Consider the following 21,334-nt stretch of genomic DNA (forward strand, 5'->3'; position numbering starts at 1 on the left):
GTTTCATTTAATTCATATATAATTTTGCCACTTGTTTAAACTTTTGAAGTTGAAACCAAAGAGACTGAATGATGGCAAAACGATTTTCTTTCTATTTTGAGAAAATTTATTTTGAATCCTCTCCTGAAACCCAATATTGACTTTTAGGTTATAAACTGCTTTATTTTTCTCAAAGGGATTTTAATATAAATTTAAAATAGTTAGCAGCAATGTTACTCTTCTATTCTGCATCTCCCAAAGGCAAGCCTATTTAATGACTAGGGAATTTAAAGTCTTGATTTTGTAATTGGTTAGCTTCTCATTTTAGTAGGAGAGAGAAACCTTCAGATTTCAGTATTTTAGGTTGTATTTAATAAACATTTCCTACCTTTTAAGTTTATAAATCAAATGAGTAACTGACTGAACAAAAAGGTCTACAGACAATGTATTCAGGCTATATTTCAGAAGGAAGTTGCTTCTAAGTTACATAAATGAAGACTTCATTAAAATAGTGTTTTCTTATATTTAAAATTGATATAGTTTTACTTGAGCTGAAACTTTAAATATTGTAGGTGATATTTTAATCCCAGCAAAGAATGAAATTATGTTCATAAATATCAGTATTATTGACGAAGAATGAGGTAGTTTACCAAATTATAAAAAATAAGTGATTTATAATATGTAAAATGAGTGTTGTAGGTGGTAAATTCCTGCCCCAGGACCATGGAAATGTTTGCCTCCATTTGCTTATTTGAGGATCTGTTTTCTGTCATTGCAACTTTTCCCCAGAAACATCTGTACTTTCCCCCTCAAATGCTTTTATTCTTGTTCTAAGCATTAGTGTCAGTCTCTTCTATTTTTACCTTTTTTTTTTAACATGACTTTTGCATGTTTTTGACCTTGAGCTAGTAAATGAAGACATTCTTTGATGAATACTTAACATCAGAGTCAAGTAAGATAGGCACCTGATGTGTAGAGTAGCCCCAACTTTTCTTTACAATGAAATTTAAAAAAAAACGGCAGTCTATTCTGAAGACTTAGTTATCAGTTGATGTGTATTAAAGTTTTAGATAGCATTAAGAATCTATATGTAAAAGTATGCTTTTTATTTCTTAGCCTCTTCTGGAAAACAAACTTAAAGCATTCAGTATTGGAAAAATGAGTACAGCTAAGCGAACTTTAAGTAAAAAGGAACAGGAAGAATTAAAGAAAAAGGTAATGTTGAAAATGTATTTTGAATTATCCTTGGAAATGAATGTGTCTAAGGGGTTAGTAAGTGTATTAGAGGAATGTTTCCCGAAGATTCTTAACCTCTAGGATATTCTCAGGTCCGCCTCTGAGTCAAGTCTGTAATACAACATATATTCCTAGGAGTTGAGCTTCTATCCTTGTTCCCTCACCCTGTTTCTTTTTTCTTTGTTATAGTTTTGGCTATTTTCTAATCTATTCTTTTTGTATAAGTAAAGTGTATGTGTGTGTAGACACATTGTACCCATTCCCCTTAGATTAATGATAGCATGCTTTATACAGTACACTTTTTTCCTACTTGCTTTTTTAACTTAACATTGTATCTCAGAAATTACCTCAAGTATATAGAAATACTCCTTATTCATTTGCTATGGCTGTGTAGATATGCAATCATTTATTCAACTAAAATTCTATCGAGGGCATTTATGTTTTGTTCTTTTGCCATTAAAAGTAATGCTGTTATGGATAATGTTATGCATATGTTTGGTTTTTTTGCTAGTGTTATCTTTGGGATATATTCTTATAGGTGAGATTTGGGATATATTCTTATAAGTGAGATTACTGGGTTGAGTGATAAATGCATAAATGTAGTTTTTCTATATTTGTCATTGTCAAATTGCTCTCTGTAGGGGCAGTGACATGTTGCACCCCTGTCAGTAGTGTATGAATGAATGTTTCCCCATAGCACTGCCAGTAGAGGACTTTTGCCAATCTCCTACATGAAAAATGGTATCTCAGTGTAGTTTTACATTTGGATTTCTCTCATTATGAGTAAAGTTTAACAGTTTTTCTTGTGTTTGTTTCTGTGAACTGTCTGCTCATATCTGAACCATTTTTTTCTATAAGTTATATTAACACTTTGTTATACAAGGTACAATTTTTTTTCTCACTTTGTTGATTGTCTTTTTATTTTGCTGCTGGTGTTTTGCTCCATGCAGAAACTATTGTACAATCAGATTTATCAGTCTTTCCCTATGATTTCTGGTTTTTCAGTTTTTTCCATTACCAGCTTATAAAGAAATTTCCTCATGTTTTCCTCTACTACTGAATGGTTTCTTTTTTAAGAATATTAAATCAGATTATTTTGTAGTTTATTCTGGTATGTGGTGTCAAGAATAGATTAATTTTTGTCTTTTTTCAAATAATTATTCAGTTATCCTAGTATCATTTATTGAAAAGTTTGTCTATTTCCCACTGATTTGAGATGCTCCTTTTATTGAACACTAAATTTCCACATGCTATTCAATTTTATTCTGTATTTTCTGTTATGTTCCATTGGCCTTTCTTCTGTTCATACATGTTTTGGGGACATTTAGAATAATTGAAAATATCAAGATTCTTCTGAGCTTTCTTTATATCAAGATTCTTCTGAGCTTTCCTTAATGCCACTTGTCAGTAGATATTGCTGCTTCAACTTCTAATACTCATGTTTTTGGTGATTTGAAAAATATTTATATTCACTGAATTAAATCATCATGCCTTGGAAACTTGGTAAACATTACTAGCAAAATATGTTTTCATATAGTCAGTTGTCATATAATTTGATGCTTGAGTTGTCTCTAGACAAATTTACTAATTAATCTATACTTAGGGGTTCTTTTCTAGTTCTGCAAATTGCCGGTAGAGGAGCAAAGCCTCTCTTGGTTTCATTAATTAATACTTAATATCTTCTAAAGATTAGACGTTATTACTTGTTAGGACTGCTTAACCTGGGAAGGGAGGGTTTTCGTCCATATTATTCCTTGATGAATTTAGCCTTGTGTACATTAACAATTTTTGTATTGTGTAATATTAATATTTTCATGTGTATTTAGGAGGATGAAAAGGCAGCTGCTGAGATTTATGAGGAGTTTCTTGCTGCTTTTGAAGGAAGTGATGGTAATAAAGTGAAAACATTTGTGCGAGGGGGTGTTGTTAATGCAGCTAAAGGTAAGTTTATAAAGTATAACTGCTAATAAAGCATAACTGTATTACAGTTTTTGAGCGAGCCCCATCTTGGTTGAATGACTGCAGGTAGATAATTATGAAAGGAAGTTTGGTTGCTTTTGAATTTTACATTTTCTATCAGCACCCTCTAGTGGTTATTATTAATTAGCAAGATAAATGGCCAAGTGTCAATTAATGAGATGCTGAAGACAGATAGCTTTTAAACATATTTAGTTCCTTTCAAGTTTTAAGACAGCAGAGCACTTGTCACAAATTTTAATATGTGTCATAGTTTTGCTATGAAATGATTAAATTAGCATTATTGAGGTGATATTTGAATTTAATTTCATATTTGTTAATAGTGATACATCTTAATACTAAAAGCATTTTACTAATTTTTACTTGTTTTTAAATAAAACAGTAAAGAAAAATATTGCGAAATTAGTTTTGAAACTTAGTATTTTAAATTTCAGAAGAACATGAAACAGATGAAAAAAGAGGTAAAATCTATAAGCCATCTTCAAGATTTGCAGATCAAAAAAATCCTCCAAATCAGTCTTCCAATGAAAGACCACCATCTCTTCTTGTGATAGAAACCAAAAAACCTGTAAGTCATACTTAAGTAATTGACCATTTATGTTCAGAGATGACACTGCCAGTGATACTTCCACTGTAAGCAAGACTTTGGCTTTTTTTCGTTTTTGGTGGGGGCAGGGTGGTAGATGTTAAGTTTTGATGCTTTCTAACCCAGTAATTTACTTAGATGAGAGTTAATGAATTGGGACACGTAGATGATATTCTTTTTATGCTTTTTGAGCAGTGAACATTTGCTATTTATGCTCATAATATATTGCAAGTCAAAAATTGACTATATTGCAAGTCAAAAATTGACTATATTTGACTTGCAATGGGGTTGTCTTTTTAAGCATTTCTGAACTGAGGTATTTAAATTATTAGTATGTGTAGTGTATATTTCCCAGAACATTTTTGGAACATTTTGGGAATTACTGTCAGAATTAGTGACACTTAAAATATTCTCAGTGTTAGAAAAAATTTTTTTTTCTTTGAGGGTTTAGTTTTTATGGGAGATGGTAGACAGATGTGGGTCATGTCATTTGGAACCAAATGTGGTGAATAAATATGATTGCATTGAATAGTAAGCCTGGTTTTTTTTGTGTGGCTTAAAAAATATCTCTAAAAGCAATGAAAAAAAAACCCCAGCTTTATTGAGATATAATTCACATACAATACAATAAAATTTACCTTTTTTTTTTGAGACAGTCTCTCTGTCACCCAGGCTAGAGTGTAGTAGTGTGATTACGGCTCCTGCAGCCTCAACCTCGTAGGCTCAGGTGGTCCTCCCACCTCAGCCTCATGAGTAGCTGGGACTACAGGCAATGTAGTCCCATGCCCAGCTAATTTTTTGGTATTTTTTTGTGAAAATGGGGTTTTGCCATTTTGCCCAGGCTGGTCTCAAACTCCTGGACTCAAGCGATTTGCCCACTTTTGCCTCCCAAAGTGCTGGGATTACAGACGCCTGGCTAAAATTTATCCTTTTAAAGTATACAGTTGACTAGGTGCAGTGGCTTATGCCTGTAATCCTAGCACTTTGGGAAGCTGAGGCTGGAGGATGGCTTGAGCCCAGGAGTTTGAGACCAGCCTGGGCAACATAGCAAGACTCCATCTTTACAAAAAGAAAAAAAATTTAAATAAAGTGTACAATTGAGTGGTTTTAAGTATGTTGAAAATTGTGCAACAATCACCACTCTAATTTCAGAATATTTTTATCACCCTAAAAAGAAATCCCTACCCATTATCAGTCACTCCCATTTTTTTTTTCTATTAACTTCAGTCCCTGACAGCCTACTAATCTACTTTCTGTCTCTTGATTTGTCTATTCTGGACATTTTTTATGGATGGTATTATATAACGTGGTCTTTTGTATCTGGCTTCATTACTTAGCATAATGCTTCAAGGTGCATCTTTGTTGTGGCATGAATCAGTACTTCATTCCTTTTTGTGGTTGAATAATACTCCATTTTATGGACATACCATATATTGTTTATCCATGCATTACTTAGTAGATGGACATTTGGATTGTTTCCACTTTTCTGCTGTTAGAAATAATGCTGCTGTAAACATTCATGTGTGGGCTTTTTTTGTGTGAACTTATGTTTTCAGTTCTCTTGGATACATGTATATACACACACCGAGAAGTGGAATTGCTGGGTCACATGGTAACTATGTTTAGCCTTTTGAGAAACTGCCAGTTTTTCCAAAGTGGTTGTATCACTTTACAGTTCCACCAGTAATGTATGAGGGTTCCAGTTTTCTCACGTCGTACACTAACACTTTGAGACCAGCCTGACCAACATGGAGAAACCCCGTCTCTACTAAAAATACAAAATTAGCCGGGCATGGTGGTGCATGCCTGTAATCCCAGCTACTCGGGAGGCTGAGGCAGGAGAATCGCTTGAACTCGGGAGGCAGAGGTTGTGGTGAGCCAAGATCACAGCATTGCACTCCAGCCTGGGCAACAAGAGCGAAACTCCATCTCAAAAACAAACAAACAAACAAACAAAACTATTTTGTTTGAAAAGTTTATTTTAGTCATTTTAGTGTGTGTGAAGTTGTACTTCATTGTGGTTTTGATTTGCATGTACTTGATTATATTGAGCATCTTTTCATGTGTTTATTGTCCATTTATAAGTTTCTTTTGGAGAAATGTCTGTTCAGATACTTGGCCCACTTTTTAATTGGGTTATTTGTATTTTTGTTGTTGAATCGTAAGAGTATTTTACATCTTCTTGAGTCAAGGTTCTTATCAGCTATATGATTTGGAAATGTTTTCTGTTCTCTGGGTTGTCTTTGCATTTTCTTGATGGAAGCATGGAGGTTTTAAACTTTAATGGAGTCCAATTTATCAGTTTTTTTCTTTTGTTTACGCTTTTGGTGTCATATCTAAGAAACCATCACCTAATTCAAGATTATGAATATTCATTCCTGTGGTTTTCTCCCAAAAGTGTTATAGTTTTAGCTCTTACTTTTATGTCCATGAACCATTTTGAGTTAATTTTTGTACATTTAGTATATGGTGTAAAGTAGAAGTCCAACTTCATTTTTCTGTATGTAGATATTCAGTTGTCCAAGCACCATTTGTTGAAAAGATTATTCTTCCCTATTAAATTATGTTGGCACTTCTAAAAGAAGGATTCCAAAAGTAGATTAAGAAGCAGTTTTAAAAGAGGATTCCAAAGATGTTACTTACTGTTCCAGTAACTCATGTCCTCCAGAGGTGATTTTTGAAGAGTGCGTATTTTTGGCAGTTACTTTCCATGGCAGTTCAGTTACTTCATGTTCATTAATTTCCCTGACTACTGGTTGTCATTTTAATTGTTTAATTGTAGTAATAATTTAATTGTTTGTTATTTTGAAGGAAGGGGAAGGGAGGTTCAATGATAAGAAAAGCATTCTTCCTTTTTAATTTAAATAATTAGAACATACAATTTGTACTGAAATGATGTAAAAAGGCTCTTATTATTGAATCATTGGTTTTGCTTATCCTTTTGTTTGAAGTATAACTTGTCATATCCTTTATAGCCACTTAAAAAAGGAGAGAAAGAAAAGAAAAAAAGCAATTTGGAACTCTTCAAAGAAGAATTAAAGCAGTAAGTTTTATAGTGTGGAGAATAACTATCATAGGTGTATTGAGCTGATACATAAACAGATGCAAGTATAAAGAATATACTGTACCAGTTAGTTATTACTAACCAGTTTGCTATGAGATTGTTTTAGATATTATAATATTTGGTGGGCTATCTTTGAAAATAAATTAGCATTTAGTCCAGCACCTGGGTTGCTTGCATTACGAGGATTCAGTTCAATTGATTTACTTAATGTCCAGAGTCCTGTTTGCAGTGGAAACAGTATACTCACTGGGATGGGAGTGAGGGGCAGTTAGACTTAGCAAGAAACAAATTCAGTGGTTTTAGTGTTTAATTTCCTCCTCACCTTTAAAGTAGGCTTTGTGTTCCATTGGTAGTATGATATATCAGAAATTTGCTCGTGGTTGTATTATAGCTGAGGGACCCTCTAATCTTGGTTATCAGTACCAGTATTTAATTACAGATATTTCTAGTTATTTGATGATAGTAATTTGATAAGCGCTATTCTGAAATGTGAATGAACAAATTTTGGCTCATTATAAGTGATTGTAAATATTTTCAACAGAATTCAAGAGGAACGTGATGAGAGACATAAAACAAAAGGCAGATTAAGTCGATTTGAACCTCCTCAGTCAGATTCTGATGGTCAGCGTCGTTCTAGTAAGTGGCATTTATTTTAATGTGTATGCTTGTGATTAATTACAGTAGTTCCCACCTTATCCGTGGCGGGTTACATTCCAAGGATCACCAGTGGATGTCTGAAACCATGGATATATACTATCCTTTTCCTTACACATTCATAGCTGTGGTAAAAATTAATTTGTAAATTAGGCACAGTAAGAGATTAACAACAATAAGTAATAGAACAATTATAACAATATACTGAAATAAAAGTTATGTGCAATCCCAACACTTTGGGAGGCCGAGGCAAGTGGATTACCTAAGGTCAGGAGTTCGAGACCAGCCTGGCCAACATGATGAAACCCTGTCTGTACTAAAAATACAAAATTAGCCGGGCGTGGTGGTGCGTGCCTGTAATCCCAGCTACTCAGGAGGCTGAGGCAGAAGGATTGCTTGAACCTGAGAGGCAGAGGTTGCAGTGAGCCGAGAACGTGCCATTGCACTCCAGCCTGGGCGACAGAGCAAGAGTCTGTCTCAAAAAACAACAACAACAACAACAGAGTTGTGTGAAGTGGTCTCTCTTTTTGTCTCTCAGAAATACCTTACTGTAACAAACTGGGGGAAACAAAGGTGAGGGTAAGGGGGGACTACTGTATTATAAAAACTAATAATTGTCTTCTTTTCTCCCCTTTAAGTGGACGCGCCTTCAAGAAGAAATAGATCATCTGGTGGTAATACAGTTTTTTGCTCTTTTAATCGATAAATTTTCCAAACTTTATGTTTTGCAGGTTATAATTCTTTTTTTCTTTCTGCCCTAGTTCTTGATGATTACGCACCTGGCTCACATGATGTAGGAGATCCAAGCACTACTAATTTATACCTTGGAAACATTAATCCACAGGTAATATTAAGTAAGATGAATGTTGATTGATATGCTTTATGCTTTTGGAAGAAAGCTTTGTTAGTCAAAAAAAATCAAGATTCTGAAGCTGACAAATCTGATGGAATTGGATAGTCTTTAGAGTTGTCTTACTGGTATGGCCCAGGTTGTCTTGCCACATATTCTTGTTTCCTCTTTCAGTAACTAGATTGAACTCTGGATTTGAAATGTTTTACTAGGTGCTGATTTTATTATTAAATCAGGGTGTGACCATTGATGAATAATATTATTTTGAGACTGTCCACTTCTGATGCATACTTGTTTCCTTGTGGAGTCCCTTTTTCTTCTCATAGTAGTAAACTACTCTTTGTGGTTTGTCTTTTATATTTTAATTCTTTTCCTGCATTGGTGCTGTTAATTATGATATGGGGAATGTAGTAACGGTAGTATATAATATGCTATTATTAAAAATTATATTTTGCATATATACTGTTACCTGTTTTCTCTGCATTTGATTACATGGGTAGTTGATTGTTAGAACAGATGATTAGATACTTTTTTTCTTCATTGTCAATACATATTTCCTCTTTAATTTAAATGTACTAACCATGCCTGCTTGAAAAATGTTACTAAATGCCTAAACAAACCATCACTATAAAACATCTTACTTAGATCCAGGACCTTAAAACAAAGGAAGATAGAGAGTAAAAATGATTTTGATTTCTTCATCCACTGAACTTCCCCACCCTGGCATCTTAAATAAACCAGAATATTTATAGTATGAAATGATTTATGAATGCCCCACGCGGGATTTTACTTGTGTGGCGTTCCTGGTACTTAAATGGAAAATTGAAGCACGTTGCTATGTTGCTTTTTATTTTGTAAAAACTACTTTGTTTTCTGAAAATAATTTTTTCTTTTCCCTTTTTTGCATAATAAAAATCTTTTACCCTTTTTAATAGATGAATGAAGAAATGCTGTGCCAAGAATTTGGAAGATTTGGACCGTTAGCCAGTGTGAAAATCATGTGGCCTAGAACTGATGAAGAAAGAGCCAGAGAGAGAAATTGCGGCTTTGTGGCCTTTATGAATAGAAGAGATGCTGAAAGAGCTTTAAAAAATTTGAATGGTAAGAACATTTTTATTATCCATTTATACAATTCAGATATTTCTTTGGTTTGGAAAAGTATTTATAAAAACTAGGAAGGATTGGACCTGAAATGGAGAGGTTAAAATGAAAATTATTTCAACTCACCAGAAAAATTTTGTTTGGAAACTTTTGAGAGTTAACAAAATGACCTTTCATTTCTTTCTTGTAGGAAAAATGATTATGTCTTTTGAAATGAAGTTAGGTTGGGGTAAAGCTGTACCTATTCCTCCACATCCAATATACATTCCGCCTTCTATGATGGAACATACGCTTCCCCCACCTCCATCCGGACTGCCTTTTAATGCGCAGCCTAGAGAGCGGTTAAAAAACCCTAATGCTCCTATGTTACCGCCACCTAAAAACAAAGAGGATTTTGAGAAGGTAATTTAAAAAATGGACATAAGGCCGCATCTAATTTGTAAATACTAAAGCTGTGGTAGTATTTCTTTTCAACAATTTTATAGAAAATGTGTGTGTAATTCTGTTTGGCAACTTTTAAAGAAATAAGTAGATGTGTTCCCTGCCTTAGCCCATGGAAACCCTATATTTGAAATACTAGGTCATATTTTTATTTGTGGCTACCATTCCTTTTTTGACCACTTGTTAAGTTTTTTTTCCTTTGTCCAGTGTTGTATCCAGATTTGCTTAAGTGTATTAACTAAATTTACTTTGTTCTGAGAAAGTGATACTTTGTATTTGGTTAAGTGACATTTCAATTAGAAAGACCTCCTAAGTAGTTATTGTTTGGATGGCAGCTAGATCTGAGGTATTAGAATATTTGAGAAGATTTATGTGGTTTGTAAAAAATAGTTAATCTAGTAAAAGCAAAGGGTGAGTATTTTCTTTTTAGTAAATAAAACCAACTTAATTTCAAGTTATAAGAATTCGTTGGTTCTATTATGAATTAATTACACTTAAAATGACAGGGCTGGTTTTAAAGGCTTGGGAACAAAGTAGCGAACTGTATGGTCAGAGGCAAACAGTTAATTATTTCACAAATTAAAATCTTTATCTGATAATTCTCAGTGTAGTACCTATTTCAGTGCATTGATGTGCATTCTGGCAGGAATGTTCTGATTCTTTGCATTTGGTGAACGTTTATTGTTCACTGAACACATCCATTTGCATTTATGTAATTGCTTAGTGTATAATGACTTCAAATGCAGTGATTGCCTGCAAAACTTGTGATTAGATATGTAGTATTTTCAATGCATATGTATATTTTTGCTTGTTACTTGTTAACAATACTCACATATTCTATGTTTATTATCTGATGTGACTTCATATACAGACTCTGTCGCAAGCCATAGTCAAAGTGGTTATCCCAACAGAAAGGTACATGTTTTTCTTTATTATTACTGATCTAAATATAGACAATATCCCCTTCTGAATTTAAAAAGAAATGGTGTTGAGGAAAAGGTAGTATCTTGACTGAGCAATGGTTCCTTCCCAGTACTTTTTGCGGGGGGATGTGTGAAATTTAACTAACTTTTGTATACTTTGCAATTTTATGTCAGTATCTTTTTTTGTTTTTATTGTTATCACTGTAGGGAATGTTTATAGTTTGACTAGTTAGAGTGTATTTATTAGCTCTGATTTGGAGTCAGACAATAGACTATTGTCATGGGAAAATAGATGTTTTAAGTGTGTCGTAAATTTCAGATAACGTTACAGTTTGACCCAATCTGTTGTTATTTTTTTCTTGTTTTCTGAATTATCTGCATTTAATATATAACCTTGGTTTGAGTTCTCCTTACTGAAGGCATAGCTTTGTTTTTTGTTTTTTCAATTGATTTTAAGAAGAAATTCCTATTATTGTCATGAACACTGGACATACTAGAAACTTTCTTTTCATGGTAACAAAGGTATTTGGAATTCTTTTATTTTCCTTTCTTCCTTTTTTTCTCTTTCAACACACTATTAAAGCAGAAGAATTCATGCTGTAGGTATGCTCTTGCTCAGTCAAGCTAAGCCTTTTCCCAAACACAGGAACACAACACTGGTTGAATAATAAATGAACACAAAAGAATACCAAATTCTCTTTGACATTGGCCTTGGTGAGCAACACCAGCTGAACTGTCTGCGGCAGCGGGGGACCAGGAAAACATCATGGGATGGATTGGGAAAGTATACAGTTTTTGACCAGACATTGGTACGATCGACTCCAATAAATGTGGTTTTATTATAACTGAGAGACAATTTTTTGTTTTTGTTTTTTTTTTGGTTATTGTTGCCCAGAATAAGATAATTACCATTTTAAAATTAAATAATGCACTTTAAATATATCATCTTTTTGTACTACACTGTTTTATTCTAATAGAAAAGTCACCATTTTTAAAATAAACACAATCCTTAAGGAAGAAGAATGTGATTACAGTTCTTTAGTAATCTTGACATCAAGTTAATAACAATTAATTGTCAGATTTTGATTTTAAATAATCATGAAACATTTTAAAAATACTTATAAACTTTTAATTTTCTAAAAATAGATTTATCAGTTACAAGCCTGTTTAAAACTATAGTGGGTTTTTCACCACTGATAAAAGCATTCACAGGATAGTATTTTTGTAGCATTCAAAAAAAGCACATATCTAGTGGTAGCTTTACATGTATGTGGCTCAGCTTATTTCTAAACAAAATTTTGAGTGTGCGTTTTGCCGAAAGTCTTCACTCACCATTAGGATGAATCCTTTGTTTTTAAACTTGCTAAACAATTTTCCTCTATCTTAAATGCTAAAGTCAAGTTGCTTTTGACTTAATTCACACAAGTTTCTGGATGTATAACATTTGTCCACCTAGTAATTAGTCTTATACATAAAATTTCCCTTAGCTTTAATTTGGCTCCTATCAGTGGGGAGTTTTGGAATTGAATCATAACTTTACATTATCGCCCTTCCTTCAAAATAATGTCATTAACCATATGAATGCTGAAGAACTGCATATTTGCAGAGCAATTACTTCTGTGAAAGAGAAATAATTTTTAAATAGAAAATTAAGCAATGTTTTTAGTTTTTTGTTTTGACAATTTGAGGTTGAATTAGTAGTTTTAAATGCATGATTTCCCCTTTGTAAAGATTTAAACTGTGATGCAATTTTTTTTACTTCCTTTAGGCTTAAATTTTTTTCACTATGGAGAGATTTCATTTTAAGTAGGTTTGTTTGAAAGCTATGAGAAAATAATTATAGTCACCTTGAGATAGATTATTTTATTGTTCATGTACTCTGAAATAGGGCATTATAGAGCCACAAAAGTCTGTCTTGTTCTATAACTATATATTTATTTACATTCTAGCAGTTATATGAACGTAATTTGAGCTGGGAATGCTAAAGGTGTAATTTAGTGTGTGCTTTGTACCAAGAGCCAATATCCTTTTGCTTTTCCCAATTGTTATTTGCCAGCTGTGTATGGATGGGGACTGGTGAAATGAGGAATCAAAAGCAGCTTATAAATAACCTGAGTCATTTTTGCCCGACACCATAATCAATGTCCAAAATTGTGTTTGGAGTCTAATAAAATATCACATGATTTTAGGACCCAGCTTCAGATAAAGACTTCCTGTGAGTTCAGTCAATAAAATGACTGTACTAAAAAATTACTCACATATGTTTATTTTTGGTAAAATATTGGAAAATAATTGTTACAGAAAATGGGAAGGGCATCTCACCGTGTACCCCATTTTGCAATATTTTGGAAAGAGTAGTACTCCATTCACTTAAGGCTTTGGCAACATAATTTCTTCATTGATTGATAGTGTACAGGCATATCAATCTCTTGTTTTGGAGGGAAAAAAGATATATAAAGGCAGAATTATCTATTTCATGAATTGTGAACTAGTTTGAAGTGTGGTCCAAAGGGATGTTGCCTCATTAAAGGTCAGATTTAATAAAAAATGCATCTGGTGTGTGTACCAGAAAAACACAGGAGTTGGATGGATTTTTTATTAAATCAGGCCTTAAACTTGTTAAATAGTTTTGCATTTTTATAAATTATAGTCATGGTTATAACATTTCAGTAGCACCATAAAAGTGCTTGGTTTAGGAATTTTTTTTTTTTAAACTGAGATAGTGTGTAAATTTCTAGATGGCTGTAATAACATGCAGGCTCTAAGTTACTGATTTTATATATCAATATTTGCAGCTTTCTAATTAGTTGTGATTTATAATTTAATGTTTTACTTTTGGAAAATAAGTGACATTTAGAAAATTAAATATTACTATGAGGCTGTATTGTGGTTTCCTACCCTCCCTCACCTTTCCATCCCCTCCCACTTCCCTACTCCCACTGCCCCACACCCTCTTAATGCACAAGGCATTAACATATGCTCCAGGTTACTTTTTTGGTATTAAATTCGGTGTTAGTCAGCAGAATAATCATTTTCTGCACAATTATAGTAACTTAGGTCAAGTGTAGTTTTATATAGTGGTAGGTCTGAATCCATTTTCTTTAACTGTGTTGTTGTTGTAGGAATTTGCTCGCCCTGATACATCGAATGATAGAGTTTGTTGTACGTGAAGGGCCAATGTTTGAAGCTATGATTATGAACAGAGAAATCAACAATCCTATGTTCAGGTGTGCATTTTTTAAAAATTGTGAAATATATGTAACATAAAATTTCCCATTTTAACTATTTTTAAGTATACAGTTCAGTGTCATTAAGTACATTCACATTGTTGTACAACCATCACCACCATCCATCTCCAGAACTTTTTTCATCTTCCAAAATGGAAATTCTTTACCTGTGTAGCAGTAACTCCTCAGTCTTCTAGCCCGTTAGCCCCGGCAACTGCCATTCTACTTTCTGTCTCTTAGTAATTTCATTACTCAGGGTAAACTCACATGAGTATAATCATACAATATTTGTCCTTTTGTGACTAGCTTATTTCATTTAGCATAATGTCCTCAGGATTCATCTGTATTATAGCATGTATCGGGATTTCCTTTTTTAAGGCCAAATAATATTCCATTATATGTATTTACTATATTTTATCTTCAGGCATGCAGTTTAAAACTACTTTTAATTTATTAGAATTAAAAATATTTCCAAGAATAAAGTTGTAAAAGTATGGGATTAGTTCTGCAACGGGATGGGAAGACAGTTTTAGTAATCAGAGTAGAATGTATTGAGGACAATTTTCCATCAGATTTTGATTTGGTTGATTAAATAGTATTGTTTTTAGCATTCTCTAGGAGGAAAATACATTTCATTATGCTTTTCAATGAAGGAATCATAAGTGAGATACAGTTGAACAAATGAGTTTTAAAATAAATTGCTTATCCTCTGAATTGTTACGGTATTCTTAGACACTAGTTTAACACTTAAGTAATGTAAAATCACTGCTTTTGTAATTACATATTGGGAAAATCTCTCCATTGCCAGACACAGTATCTGCCATGTAAGTGTTCAGTGAAAACGATCATAAGACTCATGATGCATGCCTTCTGAGTATTAATGTCAGTCACTAAGGCAGTCTAGGGCTGCAGTAAAGGAATGGGGATAGGTAGCGGGTGGTAGTGGGTGAGATTCTCTTCAGGGATCTTTGTTTTTGTTTTATTTAGAACTAAATAGGCAAATAATATTTCTCATTTATTTATATTTAATTGAAGATAGCTCTTTGTTAAAGAATATGATGTTTAATGTTTGTTTGTTTTGTGTAGGTTCTTATTTGAAAACCAGACACCAGCCCATGTTTACTATAGGTGGAAGCTTTATTCTATTCTGCAGGCAAGTAGAATCAATTACTTTGTTAATTTTGACTCTGAGTAATTAGACCTTTATAATAACTCTAAATGTTTGTTAGGGAGATTCTCCAACTAAATGGCGGACGGAAGATTTTCGTATGTTCAAAAATGGATCTTTTTGGAGGCCACCACCATTAAATCCGTACTTGCATGGAATGTCAGAAGAGCAAGAAACAGAAGCTTTTGTAGAGGAACCTAGTAAAAAGGGAGCACTTAAGGAAGAGTAAGATATTTTTCCTTTCTATTATATATTCAGAAAAGTAACTGTAATGGTTGCTTTAATTAATGGTCTTATTAAGATGTTAACCCTAAAATAAATTTTTTTCACTTGTGAATGTTTAAAATAGTAACATCTTTCATCATGTGCTTTATAATTTTAAACATCCTAACAAGTATAGGTGTGTGTCCTGTTGTCCTTGAGTTTTCTCCTGGTAAAATTAGTGATGATCTCTTAAACATGATTGACTTATTTCTTTAGCATTGGAGTACTTCAGATTCTTACAGAAATTATTGGAGGATCCCTAGAATTCTTGCTTCTCTGAATGCAACATAAAGAAGAAAAACTATTGTGTGGCTAGTGGGATCAGATTGTGGCTATGCAAAGCCGCTACATGATAACTTTCACACTTGATTTGCAGTGTGTGGTGAGCTGTGAGATGGCCACCATGGAAGTATGTGTTGTTATTAGTCTCACTTAACAATTGTACAGTGCAGCTAGCTGGTTTAAGAAGCAAAAACATACTTATTAAATGTTCAGAGGACATCCTGTATACCTCATGGGAAAACATTGGCTAAAAGCATTTTTAGAATATAGAATTAAGTACAGACATACTTAGTTTTATTGCGCTTTGACTTACTGTGCTCTGCAGATACAGTGTGTTTTATAAATTGAAGGTTTGTGGCAACCCTAAGTCAAACAAATCTGTTGTCATTATTTTTCGAACAGCATGTGCTTACTTCATGTCTGTCACATTTTCATAATTCTCACAATAGCTCAAACTTTTTCATTATTATTGTATCTGTTATGGTGATCAGTGATCTTTGATTGTTTTGGGGCACCACAAACTATGGTCATATAAGAAGATGAACTTAATCAAAAAAGGTGTGTTCTGACTGTTCAGTGACTAGCTGTTTTCCCTTAGGCCTCCCTATTTCCTGAGACACAACACTATTGAAATTAGGCCAGTTAATAATCCCACAATGGCCTCTTGAGTATTCAGGTGAAAGGAAGAGTCTCACTTCTCTCACGTTAAATCAAAAGCTAGAATGATTAAGCTTAGTTAGGAAGGCATGTCAAAAGATGAGGTTGGCTGAAAGCTAGGCCTCTTGCACCAAACAGTGAGCCAAGTTATCAATGCAAAGGAAGAGTTTTTAAAGGAAATTAAAAGTGCCACTCCAATGAACACATGAATGATGAGGAAGCAAAATAGCCTTATTACTGATAGAAAGTTTCGGTGGTGTGGATAGAAGATCAGACCAGCCATAGCACTCCCTTATGCCAAAGCCTAATCCTGAGCAAGGCCCACTCTCTTCAATTCTGTGGAAACAGGTGAGGATGCTCCAGAAGAAAAATTTGAAGCTAGCAGTGATTGGTTTTTGAGGTTTAAGGAAAGAAGCCATCTTCATAATATAAAAGTTCAAGGTGAAGCAGCAAGTGCTGATGTAGATGCTGTAGCAAATTATCCAGAAGATCTGAGGTCATTGATGAAGGTGGCTACACTAAATCACATTGTCAGTGTAGACAAAGCAGCCTTTTATTGTAAGAAAATGTAATTTAGCACTTTTATAACTAGAGAGGGGAAGTCACTGCCTGGGTTAAAAGCTTCAAAGGACAGGCTGACTCTCTTATTAGGGGCTAATGCAGCTGGTGACTTAAAGTTGAAGCCAGTGCTCATTTACCATTCCAAAAATTTTAGGACCATTAAGAATTTATGCTAAATCAACTCTGCCTGTGCTCTATAAATGGAACAACAAAGCCTGGATGACAGCATATCTGTTTACAGCATGGTTTACTGAATATTTTAAGCCCACTGTTGAGACCTGCTCAATAAAATGATTTTTTTCAAAATATTACTGCTCATTGACAATGTACCTGATCACTGAAGATCTCTGATGGAGATGTGCAAAGAGATTAAGTTGTTTTCATGCCTGTTAACACATTATCCATTCTCTATCCCATTGATCAAGGAGTAATTTTGACCTTTTAGTCTTATTATTTAAGAAATATATTTCATAAGGCTGTGGCTGCCATAGATAGTGATTCCTCCAGTGGGTCTGGGAAAAAGTCAGAAACCTTGTGGAAAGCATTTATCATTCCAAATGCCATTAAGAACATTTGTGGGCCAGGTGTGGTGGCTCACACCTGTAATCCCAGCACTATGGGAGGCCGAGGCAGGAGGATAGCATGAGGCCAAGAGTTCAAGACCAGCCTGAGCAATATAGTGAGACCCCATTTCTATTAAAAAGAAATTTAAAAAAATCTTAAAAATCCGTTTCAGTTTTTTTGCCTATAAAAATCGACATTAACAGGAGCTTGGAAGAAGTTAGTCCCTCATAGATGACTTTGAGGGATTTAAGACTTCAGTAGAGGAAGTAACTCCAGATATGGTAGAAATAGCAAGGGAACTAGAATTAGAAGTAGAGCTCAAAGATGGGACTGAATTGCTGTGATCTCATGATAAAACTTTAATAAATGAGGAGTTGCTTCTTAGGGATGAGCAAATTAAGTGGTTTCTTGAGATGGAATGTATTTCTGATGAAGAAGCTGTGAACATTGTTGAAATGAAAGGATCTAGAATATATATAAAGTTAGTTGATAAAGTAGTACAGGGTTTGAGAGGATTGACTACAGTTTGGCAAGACATTCTCCTCTGGGTAAAATGTTAACAAACAACAACTCATGCTGCAGAGAAATCCCCTGTGATGAGAAATGTCAGTTGATGCGGTAAACTTTATTGTTTAAGAAATTGCTGCAGCCACCCCAACCTTCAGCTACCACCGCCCTAACCTTCAGCTACCACCACCCTAACCTTCAGCTACCACCACCCTGATCAGTTGGCCATCAACATTGAGGCAAAACCTTCCACCAGCAAAAATGCTATGACTCACTGAGAGTTCAGATGATTGTTAGCATTTTTAACAAGAAAGTATTTTTAAAGTAATGTGTACATTGTTTTTTTAGACATACTGCTATTGCATACTTAATAGACTACAATATGGTATAAACATAACTTTTACATGCACTGGGAAATCAAAAAACTTATGTGATTGGCTATATTGTGATATTTGCTTTATTGCAGTAGTCTGTAACTGAATCCGTCTCTTTGAGATATGCCTGTATGTACTTCACTGCAGTCTATAAATCTTAATACTTGTTGCATTGATTCATTGCCTATGAGAGCATTTGGCAATGGAGTGTGATACTGTTTGAGTGTATTTACTTCTGAAGATGTATGTTCATAATCACTGTAATCCTAGGATCTGCAAACTCAGCTCATAGGCTAAATATGGCTGCCTCCTGTTTTGGAAAATAAAGTTTTACTGGAATACAGTCAATTCCCTTCCCTACATGTTGTCTGGCTGCTTTGGTGCTATGCCAGCAGGGGGATAGAGATCATATGGCCTGCAAAGCCTAAAATATTTGTAATCTTTTTTTTTTTTTTCCCCTGAGATGGAGTGTTGCTGTGTCACCCAGGCTGGCATGCAGTGGCACGATCTTGGCTCACTGCAACCTCTGCCTCCCAGGTTCAAGCAATTCTTCTGCCTCAGCCTCCCGAGTAGCTGGCATTATAGGTGCCTGCCACTGCACTTGGCTAATTTTTATATTTTTAGTACAGACAGGGTTTCACCATGTTGGCCAGGATGGTCTTGATCTCTTGACCTTGTGATCCGCCTACCTTGGCCTCCCAGAGTGCTGGGATTACAGGCATGAGCCACCGCACCCAGCCAGTCTTTTCCTTTACAGAAAAAATTAGCCTGTCGTAATCCCAGGCAGAAGTGTTAAAGTAATAGACTTCCTTCAAAGAAGGGGAGTAAAGAACATGAAAGTTCTTCAGTATCATGGGATGGTAAGACTGGGGTGCTCTTAAAGACGCTTGAAGAAATGCGTATGATTTTAAATTTACTTAATTTGTAAGCTGAAAACATAATTGGAATCTTATTCTACAGAGTATTCTTATATAAATTCTTCAAAAAATTGTAACAATTTTGGGGGACACAACACAAATCAGACTGAATGTATTACAGTCTTCAGAATTATTTTATGTGAGTAGGTTTTAAAGAAATTAGTTTGTGAGCAAAAGCTACAATGGCATTTGAAATTGTATCTAAATATTTATAAGTTAAAACAATTTATGTTCAGACAGAGGGATAAATTGGAAGAAATCTTGCGGGGATTAACTCCAAGGAAAAATGATATTGGAGATGCAATGGTTTTCTGTCTTAATAATGCTGAAGCTGCTGAAGAAATAGTGGATTGCATTACTGAGTCGTTGTCCATCTTAAAGACACCCCTTCCTAAAAAGGTATGGGAATGAATTTTAAGAAAAGGGGAGATAGTTGACGTCTTTTGGGATTAGAATTGGTTTCCTTTTTGCACAAAGCACTTGACTGATGAGATTTTTCCCATGCAGTCTTATGTTATTTCTGCTTGGAAATTTAGGTTCATTAACATACAAGTTAACAAACAAGTTGAAATGTAAATGGGTTAACAAATTTCATCTCTGCCAGAGTCATAGTTGTGGTGATACTGAGCTTCATATAACTCTTCTAATTAGTAGCCATAATTAAATTATAGCTAAACATTAGCCTTATATTAACCTATTTTGTGTTATCTTTTGATATTATAGATTGCCAGATTATATTTGGTTTCTGATGTTTTGTACAACTCTTCAGCCAAAGTTGCTAATGCTTCATATTATAGAAAATTGTAAGTATAATGATATAACTGATATTCCTGAAATAAAGTATTTAAGGGTAAGGAGTTCAGAAAAGAGGATTGTTTTGTTAACATCCTGCAAGAATAAGAAGTACAGTCAGCCCTCCATGTCTGTGGGTTCCTTATCCATGAATTCAACCAACCATGAATTGAAAATATTTGAGAAGAAAAATTGTATCTGTACCGAACCTGTACAGACTTTTTTCCTTGTCATTTTCTAAACAATATAGTATGAAAACTCTACATAGCATTTACATTGTATTAGGTATTGTAAGTAACCTAGAGATGATTTAACAGATGGGAGGATGAGGATAGGTTACAGGTGAATATTATGCCATTTTCAATCAGGAACTTGAGCATCTGTGGATTTTGGTGTCCATGGGAGGTCTTGGAACCAGTCCCCCCATGGATACTGAGGGAAGACTAATTTGAATTTCTTAATGGTTTGTAGAATTTTTTAAAAAATTGGCTTACACTTAAGCTAAATTACCAATTTTTTGGAAAGATTTTATATCATATCACTTTCTTAGCTATTGACAGTATAACAAATAGGTGTTAAAGAGAACTTTATTGCATATCTAGCTATTCATATAATAAATAGAAACAGTGTATATACTGGCAAACATAAGAGACCAAAGACATACTATTAACTATAGAATCTGTGTTCTCTTCTGATCCTCAGCATATTGATTTTAGTTCATTGTAAATGTTTCCTAAGGCAAAAGGAAGTTACGTTGCTGTATTATAATTAATGTATAATTCAGCTGGGCACAGTGGCTCACGCCTGTAATCTCAGCACTTTGGGAGGCCAAGAAGGGCTGATTACCTGAGGTCAGAAGTTCGAGACCACCCTGGCCAACGTGGTGAAACCCCATCTCTAGTAAAAATACAAAGATTAGCTGGGCGTGGTGGTGTGCCTCTGTAATCCCAGCTACTCGGGAAGCTGAGGCAGGAGAATCGCTTGAACCCGGGAGGCGGAGGTTGCAGTGAGCCGAGATGGCACCATTGTCCTCTAGCTTGGGTGACGAGCAAAACTCCATCTCAAAAAAAAAAAAGTATAACTTTTCCTCTGTTCCCCAGAGCTCTCTTTCTGTGTTTATTTTATGAATTAGGCAAAGGGAAGCTTTTCCCTAGGATGTTGCTCTGAAAAGAAATTTAGAGAGCTGGATCCTACTCTTAGGTCTGCTATT

At 34.4% G+C, this 21,334-nt stretch overlaps 1 protein-coding gene across 4 annotated transcripts in view; it reads left to right on the forward strand.

Annotated features, from left to right (window-relative positions):
- The window catches only part of U2SURP (U2 snRNP associated SURP domain containing), a 59,156-nt gene that overhangs the window by 11,646 nt on the left and 26,176 nt on the right, over positions 1-21,334 (forward strand). Inside the window, exons 4-19 of one of the 4 annotated variants that reach the window (NM_001320222.2) lie at positions 1,096-1,194; positions 3,042-3,156; positions 3,627-3,760; positions 6,754-6,821; positions 7,384-7,478; positions 8,135-8,170; positions 8,258-8,340; positions 9,282-9,447; positions 9,638-9,849; positions 10,760-10,803; positions 11,269-11,333; positions 13,934-14,038; positions 15,125-15,191; positions 15,268-15,431; positions 19,569-19,731; positions 20,056-20,135. In NM_001320222.2, the coding sequence (NP_001307151.1) occupies positions 13,959-14,038; positions 15,125-15,191; positions 15,268-15,431; positions 19,569-19,731; positions 20,056-20,135 (554 nt within the window). In that variant the 5' untranslated portion in view covers positions 1,096-1,194; positions 3,042-3,156; positions 3,627-3,760; ... (7 more) ...; positions 11,269-11,333; positions 13,934-13,958. The remainder of the gene's footprint in view (positions 1-1,095; positions 1,195-3,041; positions 3,157-3,626; positions 3,761-6,753; positions 6,822-7,383; positions 7,479-8,134; positions 8,171-8,257; positions 8,341-9,281; positions 9,448-9,637; positions 9,850-10,759; positions 10,804-11,268; positions 11,334-13,933; positions 14,039-15,124; positions 15,192-15,267; positions 15,432-19,568; positions 19,732-20,055; positions 20,136-21,334) is intronic. The other 3 variants (NM_001080415.2, NM_001320219.2, NM_001320220.2) reach the window with 3 other exon arrangements.

The sequence above is a fragment of the Homo sapiens genome, chromosome 3, assembly GCF_000001405.40.
Source record: "Homo sapiens chromosome 3, GRCh38.p14 Primary Assembly".
NCBI lineage: Eukaryota > Metazoa > Chordata > Mammalia > Primates > Hominidae > Homo > Homo sapiens.